At 40.4% G+C, this 20,260-nt stretch overlaps 1 protein-coding gene across 2 annotated transcripts in view, besides 1 other annotated feature; it reads left to right on the forward strand.

The window, feature by feature from the left end:
* DOCK5 (dedicator of cytokinesis 5) overlaps nt 1-20,260 on the forward strand; it is a 231,023-nt gene that overhangs the window by 66,408 nt on the left and 144,355 nt on the right. Inside the window, exons 3-4 of one of the 2 annotated variants that reach the window (NM_001322810.2) lie at nt 17,749-17,789; nt 19,694-20,125. In NM_001322810.2, coding sequence (NP_001309739.1) covers nt 17,749-17,789; nt 19,694-19,777 — 125 coding nt within the window. In that variant the 3' untranslated portion in view covers nt 19,778-20,125. Of the gene's footprint in view, nt 1-17,748; nt 17,790-19,693; nt 20,126-20,260 lie in introns of those variants that run through there. The other variant, NM_024940.8, reaches the window with a different exon arrangement.
* Nucleotides 10,544-10,744: a silencer, noted in NCBI's record as "peak6954 fragment used in MPRA reporter construct". NCBI's record gives its function as "represses an SCP1 promoter by STARR-seq MPRAs in K562 erythroleukemia cells {active_cell/tissue: K562}" and the evidence as "EXISTENCE:reporter gene assay evidence [ECO:0000049][PMID:32103011]".

Here is a 20,260-nt window from a genome sequence, read left to right on the forward strand (position 1 = left end):
TCCTCTAGTGCTGGTTTCCTGTGTTTAATTCATATCCATCGATTAACTCTTTTTCTGCTCCGTAAACCACTCACAAGCTCACGAGAAAGGGCGGCTGGTATGCTGGTGTTAGCAGTGATTTCTGGGGTAAATACAACACAATTGACCGCTGTTGGAACAAACACAACGAAATGTCTCAAAGGTGAGCTGAACTGTACAGAGGCAGGCACAGCACATATTATTTCAGGGCAATTTGTAAAGACTCGAAGGATAGCACAAATGCTTGGACTGGAACCAGAGGAAACAGGCAAACCTGAAAAGTTAAAAGAAACAAAAAGAAGGGTTTGTATACGTACAGGAGTTCCCCAGAATACCCATGTTATTTCTTCTATATAGAAGAAGTCTAGTTTTTGAATGCACTTTAATCAAAAAATCTACTTCCCTCTAATATGAAAAGGAATAAAAATGTATTAAGACTTGAGCTGTATGTGTTTTGAATCTCATTTTTATAAAGCAGGCCTTTGTGAGTAGGGACAGTGGGCAGTGTTATGACAGGTAAGTTACATGGCAATGAATTTTGTCTGCATGTTTGCCAAAACTTTCTAACAGAGATATAAAAAAGAAGAGAGTGGGCTGGGTGCGGTAGCTCATGCCTGCAATCCCAGTACTTTAGGAGGCTGAGGCGGGCAGATCACATGAGGCCAGGAGTTTGAGACCAGTCTGGCCAACATGGCAAAACCCTGTCTCTACTAAAGATACAAAAATTAGCCGGGCATGGTGGTGTGCACCCATAATCCCAGCTACTTAGGAGACTGAGGCACAAGAATCGCTTGAACCCGGGAGGCAGAGGTTGCAGTGAGCTGAGATCACGCGTGCCATTGCACTCCAACCTGGGTGACACAGCAAGACTCTATCTCAAAAAAAAAAAAAAAAGAGTGCTTTTAAAAGATTTTTTTCAAACAGAGGCTTAATCATCATCCTTTAGAGATGTGGTAATAGGAACCCTGCATTGGATTATGATACAGTATGGTATCTAACGTTTTGAGAATGTCTGTCTGATTGTCACATTCTGTTATGCTCTATGACAATTAATTCTGTAACACTGAAATCTCTTTATTGTTCCTCCTTTCTACTTGTTTCTTTCTCTACTTGGTCATCCATGCACAGTGGTCAGAAGCCAAGAGAGAGACAAAAGATTCAAAATTGCTGTTAAAAATCAGTTCTTAATAGAATGTGTAAAAGTTTACTGGATATAAGCTTCAATAGGGGTGTCCAAGGTATTTGTAACTTCCGTTTACTTTTGTTACCCGCTAATTAAAATAATTGAAAGTTTATTGTAATTCAAAATCTATATAGTCTCCACGATCTAGGTATAGAAATACTGCCTTTCTCATACATAAATGGCAGTGAGCCTAACAGCTTGGATTTTATGACGCTGCGTGCAAATATTTTGGCATTAGCCTGGAAAGCAGATAAGGCCATGTGGCATTTTGTTGAGTGTGCTTGGTCACTTCCCACATCTGTTTGACCTTTACCTTAAGTACAGCTTGTGAGCTACTACTGCTGGTGACATATGTTCCTGAGATGTGTTTTTCAAAAGATATGTGTGGCAGTAGGAGGGTGTTTACCAGAGAAATTAATTAAAAGGAGTGTCAGTGAAAAGTCTTATCTCGGATTTAATCTTTAAAAAAAGCGAATGCCTTCTATTTTTCCTTTTCAGGTATGTTTCAGTATGCTTCTAAAATTCTAAAATTCCATCTTTATTTATTTTTTTGAGACAGAGTGTTACCCTGTCTCCCAGGCTGGAGTGCAGTGGTGCAATCTTGGCTCACTACAACCTCTGCCTGCTGGGTTCAAGTGATTTTCATGCCTCAGCCTCCCGAGTAGCTGGGATTACAGGCACGTGCCACCACGCCCAGCTAATTTTTAGTAGAGACGTGGTTTTGCCATGTTGGCTAGGCTGGCCTCAAACTCCTGGCCTCATGTGATCTGCCCACCTTGGCCTCCCAAAGTGCTGGGATTGCAGGTATGAACCACCAACCCTAAAATTCCATCTTTAAAAATGTACGTGATTCAGGTATAGGCATATATGGAATTTTCTACTGTAGAGTTCACAACTGTTTCCTGAGTGGTACCTTCATTCAGTTATTCTGTCATGAGTAAGTACTTGGAATTACCTATTTGGGCAGCTCCTATGCACCTAAGGAGGCAAACTCAGTCTGAAAGCAAATATGCTTTTGGGAGTACTCTGGAGGAATATTCCCAGGAGCTTTTAGCATTCCACAGATTTTGGACCGCAACAGATCTTGGTTGGATCAAGTGGTTGAAATGGGAGCAGAGTCCTTCCATCCCATGCACACACATACCTGCTCACAGCTGTCTTCACACCCCTGATTGCTGTAGCATTCACATTATTTGGTGCATAACCTTTATTTTTTTTAAATGCGTTAGGTTATGTCCATATAACATCACGGTTGGGCTGGCTAAGCCTCATTAAGGATTAGTGTAAGGAGAAAGCCTTAGAGGAAAGTTTAAAATTGATTGAGGGCAAATGATCATACTTCTCCTCTTGCTTATATCTGGAAAAAAAAGTTAAATATATGCCTCTGCTTCATCCATAGTAATATAAGAGTCAGTTATTATCTTTAAAAGCATATATTGATGAAAGAATTTGAAATACTAAATAAATGGAAGCTATCCCATGTTCATGGGTAGGGAGACTCAATGTCAAAATGTCAGTTCTTCTGAAGTTGATTTATAGATTCAAAGCAATCCCAATTAAAATCCCAGACAGTTATTTTGTGGATATCGACAGATGGATTCTAAAGTTATGTGGAGAGGCAGAGGACTCAGAACAACCAACATGAAGTTGAAGAACAAAGTTGGAGGACTGACACTACCTGATTTCACAACTTACTATAAAGCTATAGTAATCAAGACTGTGGTATTGGCAGAACACTAGACAAACAAATCTACTGAACAGAACAGAGAGCTCACAAATAGACCCACACAAATATAGTCAGCTGACCTTTGACAAAGAACAAAGGCAATACAATAGAGAAAAGATATTCTTTTTAACAAATCGTGCTGGAACAACCTGACAACCACATGCCGAAATAATAATTTAGACACAGACCTTTCACCCTTGACAAAAAATAAGTCAAAATAAATTCAAGACCTAAATGTAAAATATAAAGGTGTAAAACTCTTAGAATATAATAACATGGAGAAATGTAAATGACTTTTGATATGGGGGTAACTTTTTAGATATAACACTGAAAACACAGTTATATGAAAGAAATAAGTGATAAACTGGACTTTATTAAAATTTAAAACTTCTGCTCTGCAAAAGATAATGTCAAGAGAATGAGAAGTTAAGCCACAGTATGGAAGAAAATTTTGTAAAAGAGAAATTTGAGGGTGGGCCCAGTGGCTCACACCTGTAATCTCAGCATTTTGGGAGGCCGAGGTGGGCAGATCACGAGGTCAAGAGATAGAGACCATCCTGGCCAACATGGTGAAACCCCGTCTCTACTAAAAATGCTAAAAATTAGCCGGGCGTGGTGGTGGCCAGCTGTAATCCCAGCTACTTGAGAGGCTGAGGCAGGAGAATTGCTTGAACCTGGGAGGCAGAGGTTGCAGTGAGCCGAGATTGTGCCACTGCACTCCAGCCTGGCGACAAAGCAAGACTTTGTCTCAAAAAAAAACAAAACAAAACAAAAAAAAAAAACATTTGATAAAGGACTATTATCTAAAACGTATAAAGAGCTTTAAAATCCAACAATAAGAAAACAACCCACTTAAAACATGGGCAAAGACCTTCACAGAAACCTCGCTAAGGAAGATATATATCCATATGGCATGTAAGTGTGTGAAAAGATATTCAGCATCATATATCATTAGAGAATTGAAAATTAAAGTAATGAGATACTACTGTGCACCTATTAAAATGGCCAAACTCCAGAATACTGACAACACCAAATGCTGCCAAGGATGTGGAGCAACAGGAACTCTCATTCATTGCTGATGGGAATGCAAAATGGTACAGCCACTTTGGGAGACAGTTTGTTAGTGTCTTAGAAAGCTAAACACACTCTCATCACACAATGCAGCAATTTCTGTCCTTGGTATTTACCCAAAGGAGTTGAAAACTTACACCCACACAAAAGCATGCACATAGATGTTTGTAGCAGCTTTATTCATAATTGCCAAAATGTGGGAGTAAACAAGATGTTCTTCAGTAGGTGAATGGATAAACACAGTGTTACATCCAGACAATGGAGTATCATTCAGCGCTAAAAAGAAATGAGTTATCAAGCCATAAAAAGACATAGATATGCATGTTACTAAGTAAAAAGAGTCAATCCACATGATTCCAACTATATGACATTCTGGATAAGGAAAAACTATGGAGATGGTAAAAAGATTCGTGGTTGCCAGGGGTTAGAGGGAAGGAGGGATGAAGAGGTAGAGCACAGGGAATTTTTAGAGCAGTAAATCTACTCTGTATGATACTGTAATGGTGGAATCATGTCATTATACATTTGTCCATACCCATAGAAGGCACAACACCAACAGTGGACCCCAATGTAACCTATGGACTTTGGGTGATAATGATGTGTCAGTGTAGGTTTGATTGCAATAAATGTACCACTCTGGTGGGGTATGTTGATAGCAGGGATGTCTTGTCAGGGGACAAGAGGTATATGATAACTTTCTGTACCTTCTGCTCAGTTTTGCTGTGGACCTAAAATTGCTCTACAAATTAAAGGCTATTAAAAATTTTTAAGCATATAAGGAGACTTCTGTGTCATAAATATTAACTCTGTGCTTGAGTACACCCATTCTGTTTCACCCATGGAGTTGAATGATTCAACAGAAATGGTCATAGTAGCAGGAAACAGACTGCCTAAAAAACTTGTGTTTTATTGATGGGTCTTAGAAACCCATGAAAACTTCACTTCTCTTCCTTGCCTCATCTCCAGGTATAATTCAAGCTACAAATAAGAATGGACAAGGCAACACAGGAAAGTTTCTAGTTACAGAAAGATTCTTAGTCTTACTATTATATTCTGTGTATCTGTTCCTAATGTTTGTCATGCAACCAAGAATATTAGATATGTGTGTGTGTGTTTAACTTTTCCAATAGGAATATAGGATTTTAAACAACTGTATCTAGCAATTTGGTTAATCTTCTAAATGGCAGGAACAATGAGTATTACATTACTAACCTTGAATACTTGTTTAGTTTTCACCAATGCCAGTGTAAGAATCTGTTACAGGCCGGGTGCAATGGCTCAAGCCTGTAATCCCAACACTTTGGGAGGCTGAGGCGGGTGGATCACTTGAGGTTAGGAGTTCAAGACCAGCCTGGCCAACATGGCGAAAACCCGTCTCTACTAAAAATACAAAAATTAGCTGGGTGTGGTGGAGTGTGCCTGTAATCCTAACTACTTGGGAGACTGAGGCAAGAGAATCACTTGAACCTGGGAAGGAGAGGTTGCAGTGAGCCAATATTGCACCACTGCACTGCAGCCTGGTCGACAGAGCGAATCTCCATCTCAAAAAAAAAAAAAAAAAAAAAGAATCTGTTATAGTTGGAATTGAAAGATACAAAGGGTGAAATTTTTTCTTAGTGTCACTTTCATTGCTGACACTAAGTGTTTAATCAGGCCTTAGATAACCAATTTGGGTAACTTTTGAGTTTGGCCCCATTTGGTCTCTGCCAAGGCCCTGGTTACTCAGTGCCATGTTTCTCGATTATTCTAGCCACAGTCTTAGGGTTTTTCTATCACTCAAATTGTTTCTTCTTGACTTTTTTTTTTTTGGTCCTCTTTCTTTTAAAGTCATCTTTTCTACCATTTTCTTGGAGTAGGGAAGTTATGCTGGAAAATAAAATTATGTCTTCATATCAGGTACTATAGTCTGGACACCCCTAGCATGGTATTCTAGCTGTTTTGTGTGTCTCAGCTTTGGTTGTTGGCAGTAATTTAAGTAGTTGAGAGAGGTTCTGTTCTTTTTGAGGAGCACAGACACATTCTTCAAAAAAATAAGTAAAAAAGAACTCCAAATAGAGCCCCCCACAGCACAGGAACCAGAAGACAGACCTAAGCACTGCCGTTGGTCCCTGAACTGTGCCATTGTGTACCTTCCGTGTCTGACATTTTACATCCCTCTCTATGCCAGGCATCGAGCTACGGCCTTTCATGTACTGCCTCTCAGTTCTTACAATCCTGGGAGACCAGAATTATTGATGCTCTTTTAATCAATGTGGAGATTTAGGTTAAGAAACTTGAAGAAATTCATGCAGCTATTAAATGGCAGAGCTGTGATTCCCACTGGGGTCCTGTGGAATCCTAGTATATTGTTCTTTCCACAACATGCAGCCCTTTAGCAAATGACGTTTATACTTTTGGACACGACATAAAGTTTTCCAAAGGGGTTAGGGTTGTTTTGCTTTTGAAATAGCCACCTGAAAAGTTCAGCAGCACCCCAAATGTGTCTGTATTGCGGTGAGCTCTTTCTGAACTTAGCTCCCCTCCATGGCTCTTGGCACACAAACTTGCCACTCTTACCCAGTGGTCTCGTTGCTGTCCTGGAGGGAGATCAGGGATTGGGGTTATACTCTCAAATTCCTTGAGGTCCCATAGCCTCTAGCATAACTCTTTATAAAAAGTGGGCCTCATGTTGGTTGATTAATTGTACATCTCTCTCATTCGTCTTTCGAAGTCATGCTGATGATAACAAAACCAGCATAAGAGTGAGTTGCAGCAAATTCATTGCTCCTACTGACAAAACCACATGCTACCTCCTGTCATCTCAGCTTTCTTGACTGCTTGGATAAGCTAGAGAAATGCACCACAGAAGAGGAAAGTTAGACTTTTAGCAAGAAGGACTAACCGCTGGCAAGATTACTTTGCTTTAAAAAGGAAAGAAAGAAAAACCACATCCAGAAAATATAAAGCGAATTGGCCAAAAAGTAGATGATGTTGTCCAGGCTACAGGAAGTGTTATTTCCTTCCTCTCACTGAGCTTCCAGGGCTCTGTGAAGGCACAGAGGGAGGTTTCCTTGTTTTGCAGTGGAAATTTGGATATATCATCTCTCTATTTTGCTGACTGTGATTTGGTCCTCTTCCTCATCCCTCACTGCCTGGACCAGGTCTCTCTGCTTGTCTCAGAAGGTATTTACTGGTTGCAAATAGAAATCTCTGCTATCACCCTCTGTGATAGGCAACCAGAATAAACCTTCTTGGCATTCTTTGCTACAGATGTTATGGGGTAACAAGATTAAAAATATTGTAATGTTTTTGTGGAATGAAATTTAAGAGATTTAAACTGTAATTACTTAAAATTGACAAGGGAAAAAAATGGAGTCCCCCAGAGCTGGTTACTGTGGAGCTAGGATGGAGAACCAGGCCTTTTGGTGTCACACAAGCTCTCTTTATAAAGAAGCAATGGCTCCTCTATTCTGGGCATTCTGGCCGTGTAGGCAGGGTGCTTTAGCGCTGCCTGTCTCTGCCCACTGGGCATGGGATCCCAGGAGAACAAAGAAGGGTCACTCAGACCCTGCTATCCAAGTGTGTCTTGTGGGTGCAGGTTTCATTGCATATTCCTTACAGCAGTCTATTCTATACCTAGCCAGTGGCTCAAGAACACCTGTCTTTCTCATTGCTATATTCATCAGATGTTTACTCAGTGCCTGCTGCATGCCAGGCACTGCGAAGGACAGTTCCCTGTTTTGATCATTAAAAAAATTAAATAGACCGGACACAGTGGCTCACGCTTGTAATCCCAGCACTTTGGGAGGCTGAGGTGAGTGGATCACTTGAGGTCAAGAGTTTAAGACCAGCCTGGCCAATATGGTGAAATCCTGTCTCTACTAAAAATACAAAAATTAGCTGGGCTTGGTGGTGCATGCCTGTAATCCCAGCTACTCAGGATGCTGAGGCAGGAGAATTGCTTGAGCCCGGGGGGGCGGAGGTTGCAGTGAGGTGAAATCATGCCACTGTACGCCAGTCTGGGTGACAGAGCGAGACTCTGTCTCAAAGAATGAATAAATGAATGAATGCATGAATGAATAAATAAAGCCAGAAGACTTATCTCCTTTTTCACTTAGATGGTGTGCCTATGCGTGTGTGTTTTATACTGATAGAATTCCATGGCCAAGCTCACCTGACCTGAGGGGTGGCGCATTGAGAAAGTGTCCTGTCTACTGTGCCCCAGCAGGGCCGTGGGCTAGCTTGGTATAAGGTAAAGCAATGAGCTGGCAGGTAGGAGGCCTGTGTTTGTATCCCCAGCTTAGGTAGTAAGTAGCTGGGTGATATGGGACAAACCTTTTCAGTTCCTTAACTATGTTTTCTTTCTTTAATTAATTTATTTACTTTTTATTTTATGTTTTAAGAGGCAGTCTTGCTCTATCACCTAGGGTAGAACACAGTGGCACCATCATGACTTACTGCAGGCTCAACTTCCTGAGCTCAAGTGATCCTCCCGCCTCAGCTTCCTGAGTAGTTGGGACTACAGGCATACATCATCACCAGGCCTGGCTGATTTAAAAAAAATTTTTTTAGAGACAAGGTCTTACTATGTTGCCCAGGCTGGTCTTGAACTCCTGTCCTCAAGCGATCCTCCTGCCTTGGCCTCCCAAAGTGGTGGGATTACAGGTGTGAGCCACCGCACCTGGCCTCCTTTGTTTTAAGTAAGGTTGTTATATTTTAGTGAGCTGTGAGTTCTTTCCAATATCTGGCTATCTCAAATCCACAAAATTGAGCTCAGATAATTAACCTGGAAGACTCATTTGTCTCACCAAGAAGTACAAAAGAATAGAATCATCTTTTACCATCTTTGCATCCCTTGACTTTCTGCCTTTGAACTTATTTTCAAAAGCCCCAGTGAGTTCCATGTGGAGTGCGGACATCTTGAGACCTGAGGCTCAGGAAGGCGGTGAGTGTGCTGTGCACAGGGAGAGGTGCAGCCACTGTCTGTAAGGAAGGATTTTAGACCCAGCCCTTTGTCTGTCCTGTGACGAGTTTGCACCCAGCAGTTTCTGCTCACTGGCTTCCCAAGAGACAATCAGCTTCTATTGGAAGGACAGCTCACCGGGGATGGGAGGACAGGATATGCCCGTGGAAACCTGACGAGCTTACCTGGCCCACAGGGGATGGAGCCTTTGCCCTTGGCCTCATTTACTGTGTTTTATCCAGTAAGATACCAGACCAGCAACACTTAAAGGAAAAACAACAGGATTTAGCACCTGCTCCTTCTCTGGGGTGCCGCCCACCCCCGCCCAGTCCCCACAAACACACACATAATGCAGGTGTATAGAAACATAGCTCTTTTATGTGTGTACGTGGGGTAAAACTAATTTATCTTGTGATCAGAAAGTAGGGAGAGATTTTATAAAACACTCCATAATTTCAGCATCTGAATGATGCTTTTCTTGTTGGGAAATCATGCGTCCCTCTCAGTAATTGCTTCTGAGTCTTCAGCATATTCATGACTTTCTCTTTTGTGTGCCAGAGTCTACAAGCATTACCATTAAAAGCCCTTTTGTATTTAGTTATTTGTTTACAGATCTGTTTCCTTCCTCCTTGAAGACAATGTCTGGCACACTGGTGTTCAATAAATGTTTTCATGTATAATGAATGAATGACCACATTAGTAATGTAAATCCTCAGCCTAAATGTACATCCTCAGAGAGACAATTTTCTTTCTTTCTTTCTTTTTTTTTTTTTTAAACGGACAGAATCTTGCTCTGTTGCCCAGGCTGGAGTGCAGTGGCGCGATCATAGCTGACTGCAGCCTCCAACTTCTGGGCTCAAGAGATCCTCTGACCTTGGCTTCCCTAGTAGCTAGGACTATGAATGTGTGCCACCTCACCTGGCTAGTTATTTTATTTTTAGTTTTTTGTGGAGACAGGATTTTGGCTATGTTCCCCAGGCTGGTCTCCCACCTCAGCCTCCCAAAGTGCTGGAATTATGGATGTGAGCCACCACGCCCAGAGAGAATTTTCTAACCATGTTTTCTAAAGTAGCTCCATCCTCAGGAGTTGGCCTTTCCCAGGTTAGCCTCTTTTATTCCTTTATAACTTTTAGCCCTATATGAAGTTACTTTTCTTGTTTATATGCTTGTGTGTTTACATATATATTTTTTTCTTTCCATTATTAAGTAAGATTTAGGACACGGAGACATTGAATACCCTGCTTTCCTAACATCTGTAACTAATTGCTCACTGGAGAAATTAATCTCCAATCTGCAGTTGAACTTCTGGAAATAGCAAAACTTGTTCAGAATGAATTTTGGAGCATGCAGTAGTAATTAAGATGAATAATGTCTTTGGGAAGACAAAATACCACGTAAAGTAATGGAGAAATAGTTCTGTGCTTTTTCACACATGACTCAAACTTGTTTCAGAGGCATTTCCAAACAAAAATATTCAGTCATATTTCAGCAATGCAATTCCATGTTACTTTGAGGTGGTTACTTTATAGAGTAATATTCATCTGACGGTGTCAATTTTTACATTAAAGAAAAAGTGCAGTAAAATTTACAAGCAACAAAAGGCATTCATCTTAGGTTTACAATTCAATGTGTTTTATCAAATGAATGCAGCTTGTATGCCTAACATTCCGATCAAGATAAAACACATTTCCCTTACCCCAGAAAATTCCGCGGTATCTTTATCCACACAGTTCCCACCCTCAGTAAACAGCCACCGATCTGGTTTAGATCACTGCGAGTTAGTTTTACCTGTGAGTCAACTTCATATCAGTGGAATTAGATGTGTCTATTGTGTTTGGGCTCTTTCACTTATTGTAATGGTTTTTGGGTTCATCCATGATGTTGCACATCCGTAGTTCATTCCTGTGTATTGCCAGGTATAACTATATTACGTATTATATATCATAGTTATAGTATAGTAAGTAATATATACATATAACACTGTCAGTACTCCCATTGATGTACATTTTGATGTATTCCAGCTTTTGACTATTAAAAATAAAGCATTCACAAACATTCTTATAAAGCACTGGAGTGAGGATGTGGCCAGGTCATAGGATAAGTGTACGTTTAACTTTATAAGAAACCACCAGCAATGAGAGAGAGTTCCAGTTGCTCCATCTCCTTACCAGTGATTGGCACAGTCAATCTTTTTAACTTTAGCCATTGCAGTGGGTGGATAGTATTTCACTGTCTTTTTTTTTTAGAGTTATAATTTGCATAGAGTAAAATTCACCGTTTTTAGTGTACAATTCTGCAGGTTTTGACAAATGCATACAATCTTGAAACACAACCGTGGTCAAGCTACAGAACCATTCCGTCAGCCCCCAAGTTCTCCTGTGTCCCTTTTCAGTCATCCCCATGCCACCCTGAGCACTTGGCAACTACTCATGTGTTTTGTATCCCTATAATTTTGCCTTTGCCTAGTTCTGGCCTACCAGGGTTTATCAGCGGTATATTTTTTAAAATGTTATCAGTCATATATGTTTATAAATTTAAACATCAAGACCATTTCTACAAGGTTTATAACGAAAAACAGGAGACCCTTCTTAACTCCTCTCGAATTCTGAGGAGTTTCAACTTTTTCAGAAGTCTTTCAACTCTTTCAGCCAATGTTTTATGCCATAAATCTCTTCATTTCTAAATTCATTTCTTACTATGGAAGATAAGGATTTCACTCTTCTGTACACCCCACCAACGATGCAGATACCCATTAATCCCTCATAGAAAAGCAAATATAGATACAATTTTTTTTTTTTTTTGAGACCGAGTCTGGCTCTGTCTCTCAGGCTGGAATGCAGCGGCATGATCTCAGCTCACTGCAACCCCCACCTCCAGGTTCAAGTGATTCTCCTGCCTCCACCTCCTGAGTTTTTTTTAAACACTTAGGATTTGGGTTATTATGCCTATGTAGTGTAAGCAGCAGAGGCTGTGGGATTTACCTTGATTACATTTCCTTTCTTGAATAATATGTTTTTCTAGAGCTAATTCCTTTTTTTCTTCATTCTCTGTGAATTTACCTCTATTTCATACTCAAGGTTGCTGACAGGAGTATTGACTGCCTTTTAATATGTTGAGACAAATAAGATCATTTATCAGTTTCTTTTTTTTCTTGGATTCATTCCTCATGGGACCGTCTGTCCTCCTCCCTTGTTTGGGACGTTGTGCTTTCCCAGTGACAGCTCTTTTTCTGAGGGCTCTCTTTATCATCTGTCTTGGGGACAGAAAAATAGGAACTAACTAGGTAATTCAACAGAGCTAGGGGTAGTATGCATTTGTATAAATACAGATTAATACCTGTTAATTTTGACTGATCCACATGTATAAAAAGTCATGAATTCATGTGGATACCTTCAATCCCAATCCGGCAGCACAGGGTTCATTCGAGATTTTTCCCTTCTGGGGCTTATAACTCCATTCTATAATAGTAAGAAACCTAGCTTCCCATATTTTTAATAGATTTAGCTATTTGATCAGTTCCCTGGTATGTAACTGATCACTCATCCTCATTAGCATGCTGTCTCCCATGGGAACACCCCCCTCACCCCGTTTTAGCTCAGCTATCCGAGGCCAGTGCACCACCCCCAAGTCCTATGTGCGGATACCCCCTCGCCCCACTTAGGCTCTGACACCCCGTCTGCTCCCTTACACGGATGCCCACCTCGGTCCCCCTGGGCTCTGACATGCCATGCCAGTCTGGACCCCTCTGCGGATGTGCAGCCTTCCCCCACTGCGAATGCCCAGGTCACTCTGCTCCACCCCATGGCTCAGTACTCAGCTGCCCAGGAGGGACGGCAGAAGGGGCAGGATCCATCTCCTGATTCTGTCCTGATTCCCATTCCCCAAGGTTTTCCTTTCTTCAATCTTCCTATACCAAAGACTACTGTCCTCCTATTTGCTTAAGCCCAAAATACAAATACCTTTGAGAATTTGCCTTTACTCCCCCATTCATGGCCACCCCCAGCAAAATCATGAGCAACTCCTGTTGATTCATATATATCATTCGTCTGGGTGCGGTGGCTCATGCCTATAATCCTAGCACTTTGGGAGGTCTAGGCAGGCGAACCGCTTGAGTCCAGGAGTCCGAGACCAGCCTGACAGCATGGGGAGATGCCATCTCTATAAAAAATGCAAAAAATAGCCGGGCATGGTGGCATGCACCTGTATTCCCAGCTACCAGGGGTCGGGGTTGGGTGCTGAGGTGGGATCCATGGAGCTGGGGTGGCGGAGGTTGCAGTGAGCCATGATTGTGCCACTGCACTCCAGTCTGGGTGACAGAGTGAGATCCTGCCACAAGAAAAAAACAACAAAAAAAACCTCATCAATGTATATATCCTACATTTTTTTCATCTCTCTTCCTCTTCACTGCACCCACCACTCCCCTTTGGTGTTCCTCTTGCTACTACACCTCACATCCCACAATCCATTCCCATATAGCAGCAAGGATGCTCTTTTAAAAGCCTAAGGCAGCCAGGCACAGTGGCTCACGCCTGTAATCCCAGCACTTTGGGAGGCCGAGGCTGGTGGATCAATTGAGGTCAGGAGTTCAAGACCAGTCTGGCCAACGTGGTGAAACCCTGTCTCTACTTAAAATACAAAAAATAAGCTAGGCATGGTGGCACACCTCTGTAATCCCAGCTACTGAGAAGGATGAACCATGAGAATTTCTTGAACCTGGGAGGAGGAGGTTGCAGTGAACCAACATTGCACCACTGCACTCCAGCCTGGGTGACAGAGCAGGACTGTCTCAAAAAACAAAAAACAACAACAACAAAAAAAACATAAGGCATGATGACATTTGAAACCCTCCAACGCTTCCTGCTGTACTTAGAATAAAACTTGAATTTCTCCATGGCATATAATACCTGTGTCTGATAATTAATCTTGGCTACACATTAGCATCACCATCTCCATGGCATATAATACCTGTGTCTGGTAATTAATCTTGGCTACACATTGGCATCACCATCTCCATGGCATATAATACCTGTGTCTGATAATTAATCTTGGCTACACATTGGCATCACCATCTCCATGGCATATAATACCTGTGTCTGGTAATTAATCTTGGCTACACATTAGCATCACCAGGGGACCTTTTAGAAGCATTAAGTCTGGGCCTCACCCCAGACCAGTTAAATCAGAATATTTGGTGGTGTGGACTAGGCATCAGTGTTTGTAAAAGTTCCTGGTGGGTCTCACGGGTGCCCAGGGTTGAGAACCAGGCCTCCTCTAACTACCTTCGTATTGCCTCTCCCCATTTCAGTCTCTTGCGCTGAACTCTGGCAATGACATTTTTCTTCTTTCTTTGAACTTCAGGCTTATTCTTGCCTCACAACTTCCTCGCTTGATTTGTTTCTGTCTGGAAGTTTCTTTGCCCAGATCTGTTAATGGCTCATTCCTTTTAGCTTCTTAGAGTAATCTGTCCTTGGTCACCGTATCTAAAATAATGTGCCATGTTACCAACCATTCTCTGCCATATTACTTTTCTTGAGCACTTCTTCCTCTTAGCACTGTCATTATCTCAGGTCATTCTACTTGTGTATATTTTTAACATTAGAGTGTAATCTTCATGTGAACTCTTGCTTTCCATTATGTCATGGTTCTTAATTAGTGTTTAATAAAGATTTGTAGAATGACTGCATGTAGCGAGGAGAAGAATCAGGGAAGAGATCTGTTGGACAGAAAGTGTGCAGGAGCCAGAGAGACATTTGGATAGGTGAAGTGAAATGGAGCAGATAAGAGTCCTGACTGATGGAGATTACTTGAGAAGCCAGATTTAAAGTAAATAATTTTGACAGTGGAATTAGCAACTCTCTGTTATTTTCAGTTGGAGAGGACAGATTTTTATTCTGGATTAGAGCAATCCCAAGAAAGCAGAAAAGACTTGTGAGCCTAGCGAAAGAGCAACCCTCAGCATAGAATACGTTGGTGTTCACCATGGTTGCCATGAATTTGCTTTTTGCAACTGTCATTTCCCCTAAATGTAGGCAAGAGTGGCCCTCTGGACTCATTATCCCCTCACGATTCCCTTTATTTTAATGGTGTAATAACTTAAAGCATCTGAGATCCTGCGGACCACTTCACACCACCCACCGATTGCAGCTACTGATATGCCCATCACTTCCTCTTTGCATTATGCCTTCTTTTTTTTTTTTGAGATGGAGTCTCGCTCTTTCACCCAGGCCAGAGTGCAGTGGCACTATCTCGGCTCACTGCAAGCTCCGCCTCCTGGGTTCACCCCATTCTCCTGCCTCAGCCTCCCTAGTAGCTGGGACTACAGGCACCCGCCACCACGCCCGGCTAATTTTTTGTATTTTTAGTAGAGACGGGGTTTCACCGTGATAGCCAGGATGGTCTCGATCTCCTGACCTCGTGATCCGCCCGCCTCAGCCTCCCAAAGTGCTGGGATTACAGCATTATGCCTTCTTAAGTCTAATATCAAGCTATATTTAATTATGATTGTCTTACTGTAAATACGCGGGATTAATTGGAAAACTGGATTCTTGCTTGTATGACAACCCAGGTATGTAATGTGGAAATGAGCAAACATATTTGTGAACTATTACCATATTCTGTGCAGTTATTAAAATTGAATTTATGGAGTTCTGACAGTATACGCTTAAAACTCCAGAGATAGATCTGTTCTCTCATACCTGATGCAAGGAAAATGAACATTCACGTTTACAAATTCAGCATGATAATTTTGTGCCTTTAGGTAGGGCTTACACACACACCACAATTCTAGAGAAGACATAGGAGGTTAAAAAAAAAAGTTTTTTCAACAATGACAGGCTTAGGAAGCATAATTCCGTGATGAATGGTTGTGCAAAATACTGTTTACAAACGTACAGATAAATTCTTCTTTGAAAGTGGAATGAAGTTTGTATTGTGACAGCTTGGCTTTATAGGGCACAGAACGATGAAAACTGTTTGGAAAAGATGAATATCTTGTTTCTCAGCCTGCCCGCCTCCCACTCTGCCCTTTTCCCAGGGTGAATTCGAAGCCATTTATTCATGCAAAAGCCCATTTTCATGTTTTCACAGAACCAAGCAAGTATATACAGATGGGTACAGACCTTGAGACCTGGGGAGAAATGCTTAGCTTAGTATCCTTCTTATTCCTGAATCTCTTACACCTTGGCATCCTAAATCGGGGGAAGTGTTTCCTGTTTAGATATCTTTTTCTCAGCCATGTGCCTTGATGCAAGCCACAATTCCACAGCATAGTACCCCACGCCTCCCTGTAAAATGTAGCAAATCCTTTCAATGTCTGAATGCCACAGTTTAAAATATTTATGAAATACTACTTTTACAATATTTGTGAAAATATTATTGAATATATGCCCAAAGAAGATAAGTTCAGTTTTCTACCCATAACATGCACGAAGTAGAGTATGTGTCTATTTTTTGGTTGATTTCATGTAGAACAAATTACAAGAGAGTTCTAGGATCCTATTGGCAGATGCCAGAAGTTTTAATTACAGTTTGCATCTACTCACTGTGTATATATGGCTACCTTATACGTGTATGCCGTTACTTTCAGTGGCAAAAACTGCAGTTTCTTTTGCACCAACCTGATACCACAAGGTTTACCTGGGCAAGATGACCACACTGATGCTTTAGTTGATGGGCATGGGGAATGAGGGAAATTATTACAGTGAACTTCCTACAGTAGGTGTTCAGCAAATAGTTAATATAAAAAATCTGTTTATGGACAGAGTAAATTGTCTACTCTCCACAAGATAGAGGGTTGGAAAACATCTATAGGGGTGTGTACCTTTATTGGAATTTTTTTTTTTTTGGAAACGGAGTCTCGCTCTGTTGCCTAGGCTGGAGTGCAGTGGTATAATCTCGGCTCACTGCAACCTCCGCCTCCCAGGTGCAAGAGATTCTCCTGCCTCAGCCTCCTGAGTAGCTGGGATTACAGGGGCACACCACCACACCTGGCTAATCTTTATATTTTTAGTAGAGACGGGGTTTCACTATGTTGGCCAGGCTGGTCTTAAACTTCTGACGTCATGATCCACCTGCCTCAGCCTCCCAAAGTGCTGGGATTACAAGCGTGAGCCACCGTGCCCGGCTGGAATTTTTAAAAAGAAGTTAAAGCCTTTACCTAAAGCCTCAGCAAACAAACGCATAAGATCTTTTTATGGGGGTGGCGGGGGGATGTTGCTTTTAGCATTACCAAGAATTGCACGTAATTTTGTTTTATTATTTCATTATTTGGATTATTTTTAAAGTGCAAATATTTGTCTTCATAAGATCTGCTAGTTCAATTTAAAATTTTTCCAGAATAGTGGTTCTTAACCTGGGAACTCAGAAGAGTTACAGCAAATATAATTTATTTAAAAATATATATTTTAATAGTATAAGGTGACATGTAGAAAGCATGTATACAATGAAAGTCCATATTTATTCATGCAAAAACATTTATTAAATGACTGTAAGGTATTAGGGTGATAAGAAACGGGCTGTCTTGTTGGTTTTTTTTGCTATTGTTCTATTCTTCCTCCAAAGGAGTAGAGATGAGGCTAGGTTCTAAGTGAATTTTAAATCCAATTGTTATTAAGAGAATACAGCTCTAAAATACAGTTAGATTTTTCTTGTGTAATAAACTAAAACATTCATCTTCTAACGTACTGTTAATTGTCTCTGTCAACTGTTGTATCCCAGTATTGCTAATAGAACATGAGAGTATATATTGCTAATAACTTTATGATATCCCAGAAAACATAAAATATTTTGTGTTCTCTTTTGCTCTGACAGGTTGGTACAGAGGATATACCCTCCAAAATAAATCTAAAAAGGTATGACTTATCATTCACTTTTTAATTTCATTTGAAATCTGTCTGCTAGTTTTGTATTGTGCTATGTGACCCTCTCCTCTGCTCTCTGCTGTCTCTAGACCTAGTTTGCTTTCTCTTTGATGGCTCTTCTTTGGATTTGAAAGCAAATTCTCTGACCTCAGTGCCTAAATGTAATAGTGTAAATCCCATTGACTGTATTTCCTACCAGCCAATTCAAGGAGAAAATCCTGGAAGACTTCTTGCTTCCTGTCCCTCAAGTTAAGCAAGTTGGTAACACATTCATTGCCCTAGTGGGATCTCTTTTGCAGGGAGGGGTGGACCCACCCTTCTCCCTTTGTCCTTTACTTCCAATGCTACAATTCCAAACTAAAGGATCTCCCCATTTCCACTTGATCCTTTCCTTCATTGTAAATTGGATAAACAAGAGTGGTTTTCATATTATGAGCCTCACATCCCAATAATACATTATGAAATCAATATGGTGGATTATAACCAATTTTTTCCAAAAAATGAAACCGAAAAGTAGAGAACATGAGATGCAATGGTAAGTACTGTTTCACGAAACTTTTATTTTAGGTATATACTTTTATTTATTGTTTTTATTATATTTTATGTATTTGATATGTAATATTGGTTGCCATAAGAATGTATCTTTTACTGTGCAACAAAGGCACAGTTTGAAAAATACTGACCTAAATGGTTCCTTTTGCCAGTGCCAAAACTACTAATCGTCAGGCTAAAGAAAATCTATTAATTATGTTAATACCTCCCTCAGTTTCTTTTAGGTCTTGTCAGCACTTTTCCTTTGATACTGCTCGCTGGGGCAGCATGACATGTCAGCACTTTCTTTTGAAAGAGCAGAGTTGATAGGGCCTTATTATTTCACAATTAGTTCACATGCCAAATAGCAAATTAGGAAAGGGATGAGAGAAACGTTTTAGAATTTATCAAAAGAGGAGTGAAAAAACAAAACCAGACCCACGGTTCTTACACTTCACGGACAGCATGAGAAAGACGTAATCCTGCACAGATAGGCTGATGTTACACACCCAACTCTCCAAAGAGTACGGGGCCCAGGAAAACACCTTTCTACAAGGTATAGTTCATTAGAAACCAGGACTGCTTCTGCATTGTTGATGCTTAAGTCACACTCAGTATTTGCACATGTATGTGTACACATACACATTTTGTTAACTTTGACAGTTTATTCATCTAGCAAAATAAAGGAATGTTTGCTTTTAATGCAATTCCCACAGTTTTGGTCCTTTTTTCTCACCTCAAGCCAGAGAATGAATTTTTCTACCCACAGTTATTCTAGTGTCGCATGTCTTTATTTCAAACCAAATTATTTTCATTTAATCTCTTGCTGACTTCAGTTTCTCTGGGCCGTCAAATAGGGGTCCAAGACAGCAGGCATGCCAGAGTAAATGAGAACATGACAGAACTAAAGTGAAAGCTTTTCTTCTGGGATCCTCAGTGACACAGAGTACTTGATTATGGCCACTCTTGCTTTTTTAGCCCTATTGGTGTTAATTTTACTCATAGTTATGGAAGTGGTAGTTACTTCAAAGCACCATTAGAGTTAACAATTTTGATGTTCTGAATTTGTTAAACAGTAAGAATACTTATGTCACTTAATTCCCAATCCTTTTTTAAGAAAAAAAAAGTTAATTTAAAAACAATAAACAAAAAGCCATTCTCAAACAAAATTATGTGATGAACTTAAGGAACAAACGAAACTCTTGGATTTTTCACTGCGAAATTCAATTACGTTCAACCAAGGTCCTAGATCAGGTCTTCTTTTTCATAGACTACAGTATGTAAGGATCCTTTTGAACATGGCAGACCTTGCTTTCTAAAGTATCCTATGATTTTTTAATATAGTCATTTCCTCATTTCCACAGGCAATTGGTTCCAGGACCCCCACAATACCGAAATCCATGGATGCTCAAGTCTCTGATATAAAATGGCATAGTATTTGCATATAACCTCTGCATTTCCTCCCGTGTACTTTAAATCATGTCTAGATTATTTATAATACCTAATACAATGTAAATGCTATGTAAGTAGTTATTATACCGTATTGTTTAGGGAATAATGACAAGGAAATAAACCTCTGCTTACTTTTTTTTTCTATATTTTTAATCATCAGTTGGTTGAACCCATGATATGGAGGGCCTTGTGTATATAAAAATCAGTCTAGCTAATAGTGCCATTGTTGTTGGCTTTGAACAGTAGATAGATAGGGTTCCCCCAGGATCTAAATGATAAATTCTGGATTTTTTTTAAATTTTTTTGTGTTCATTAAAGAGTGCTTAAAACCTTTAAGCTTAAAATCTCACCCTTCAGAAGAAATCTTTCGGTAAGAGTTTCTCTTTGTTCTCTTGGTAAGTAAAGAAAAACTTTCTAATTCAATGAAATGATGACACAGACAAGGGACATGCATTTATTTGATGATTGTTTTAAGCCGA

This window comes from Homo sapiens, chromosome 8 (assembly GCF_000001405.40).
Source record: "Homo sapiens chromosome 8, GRCh38.p14 Primary Assembly".
Lineage (NCBI taxonomy): Eukaryota > Metazoa > Chordata > Mammalia > Primates > Hominidae > Homo > Homo sapiens.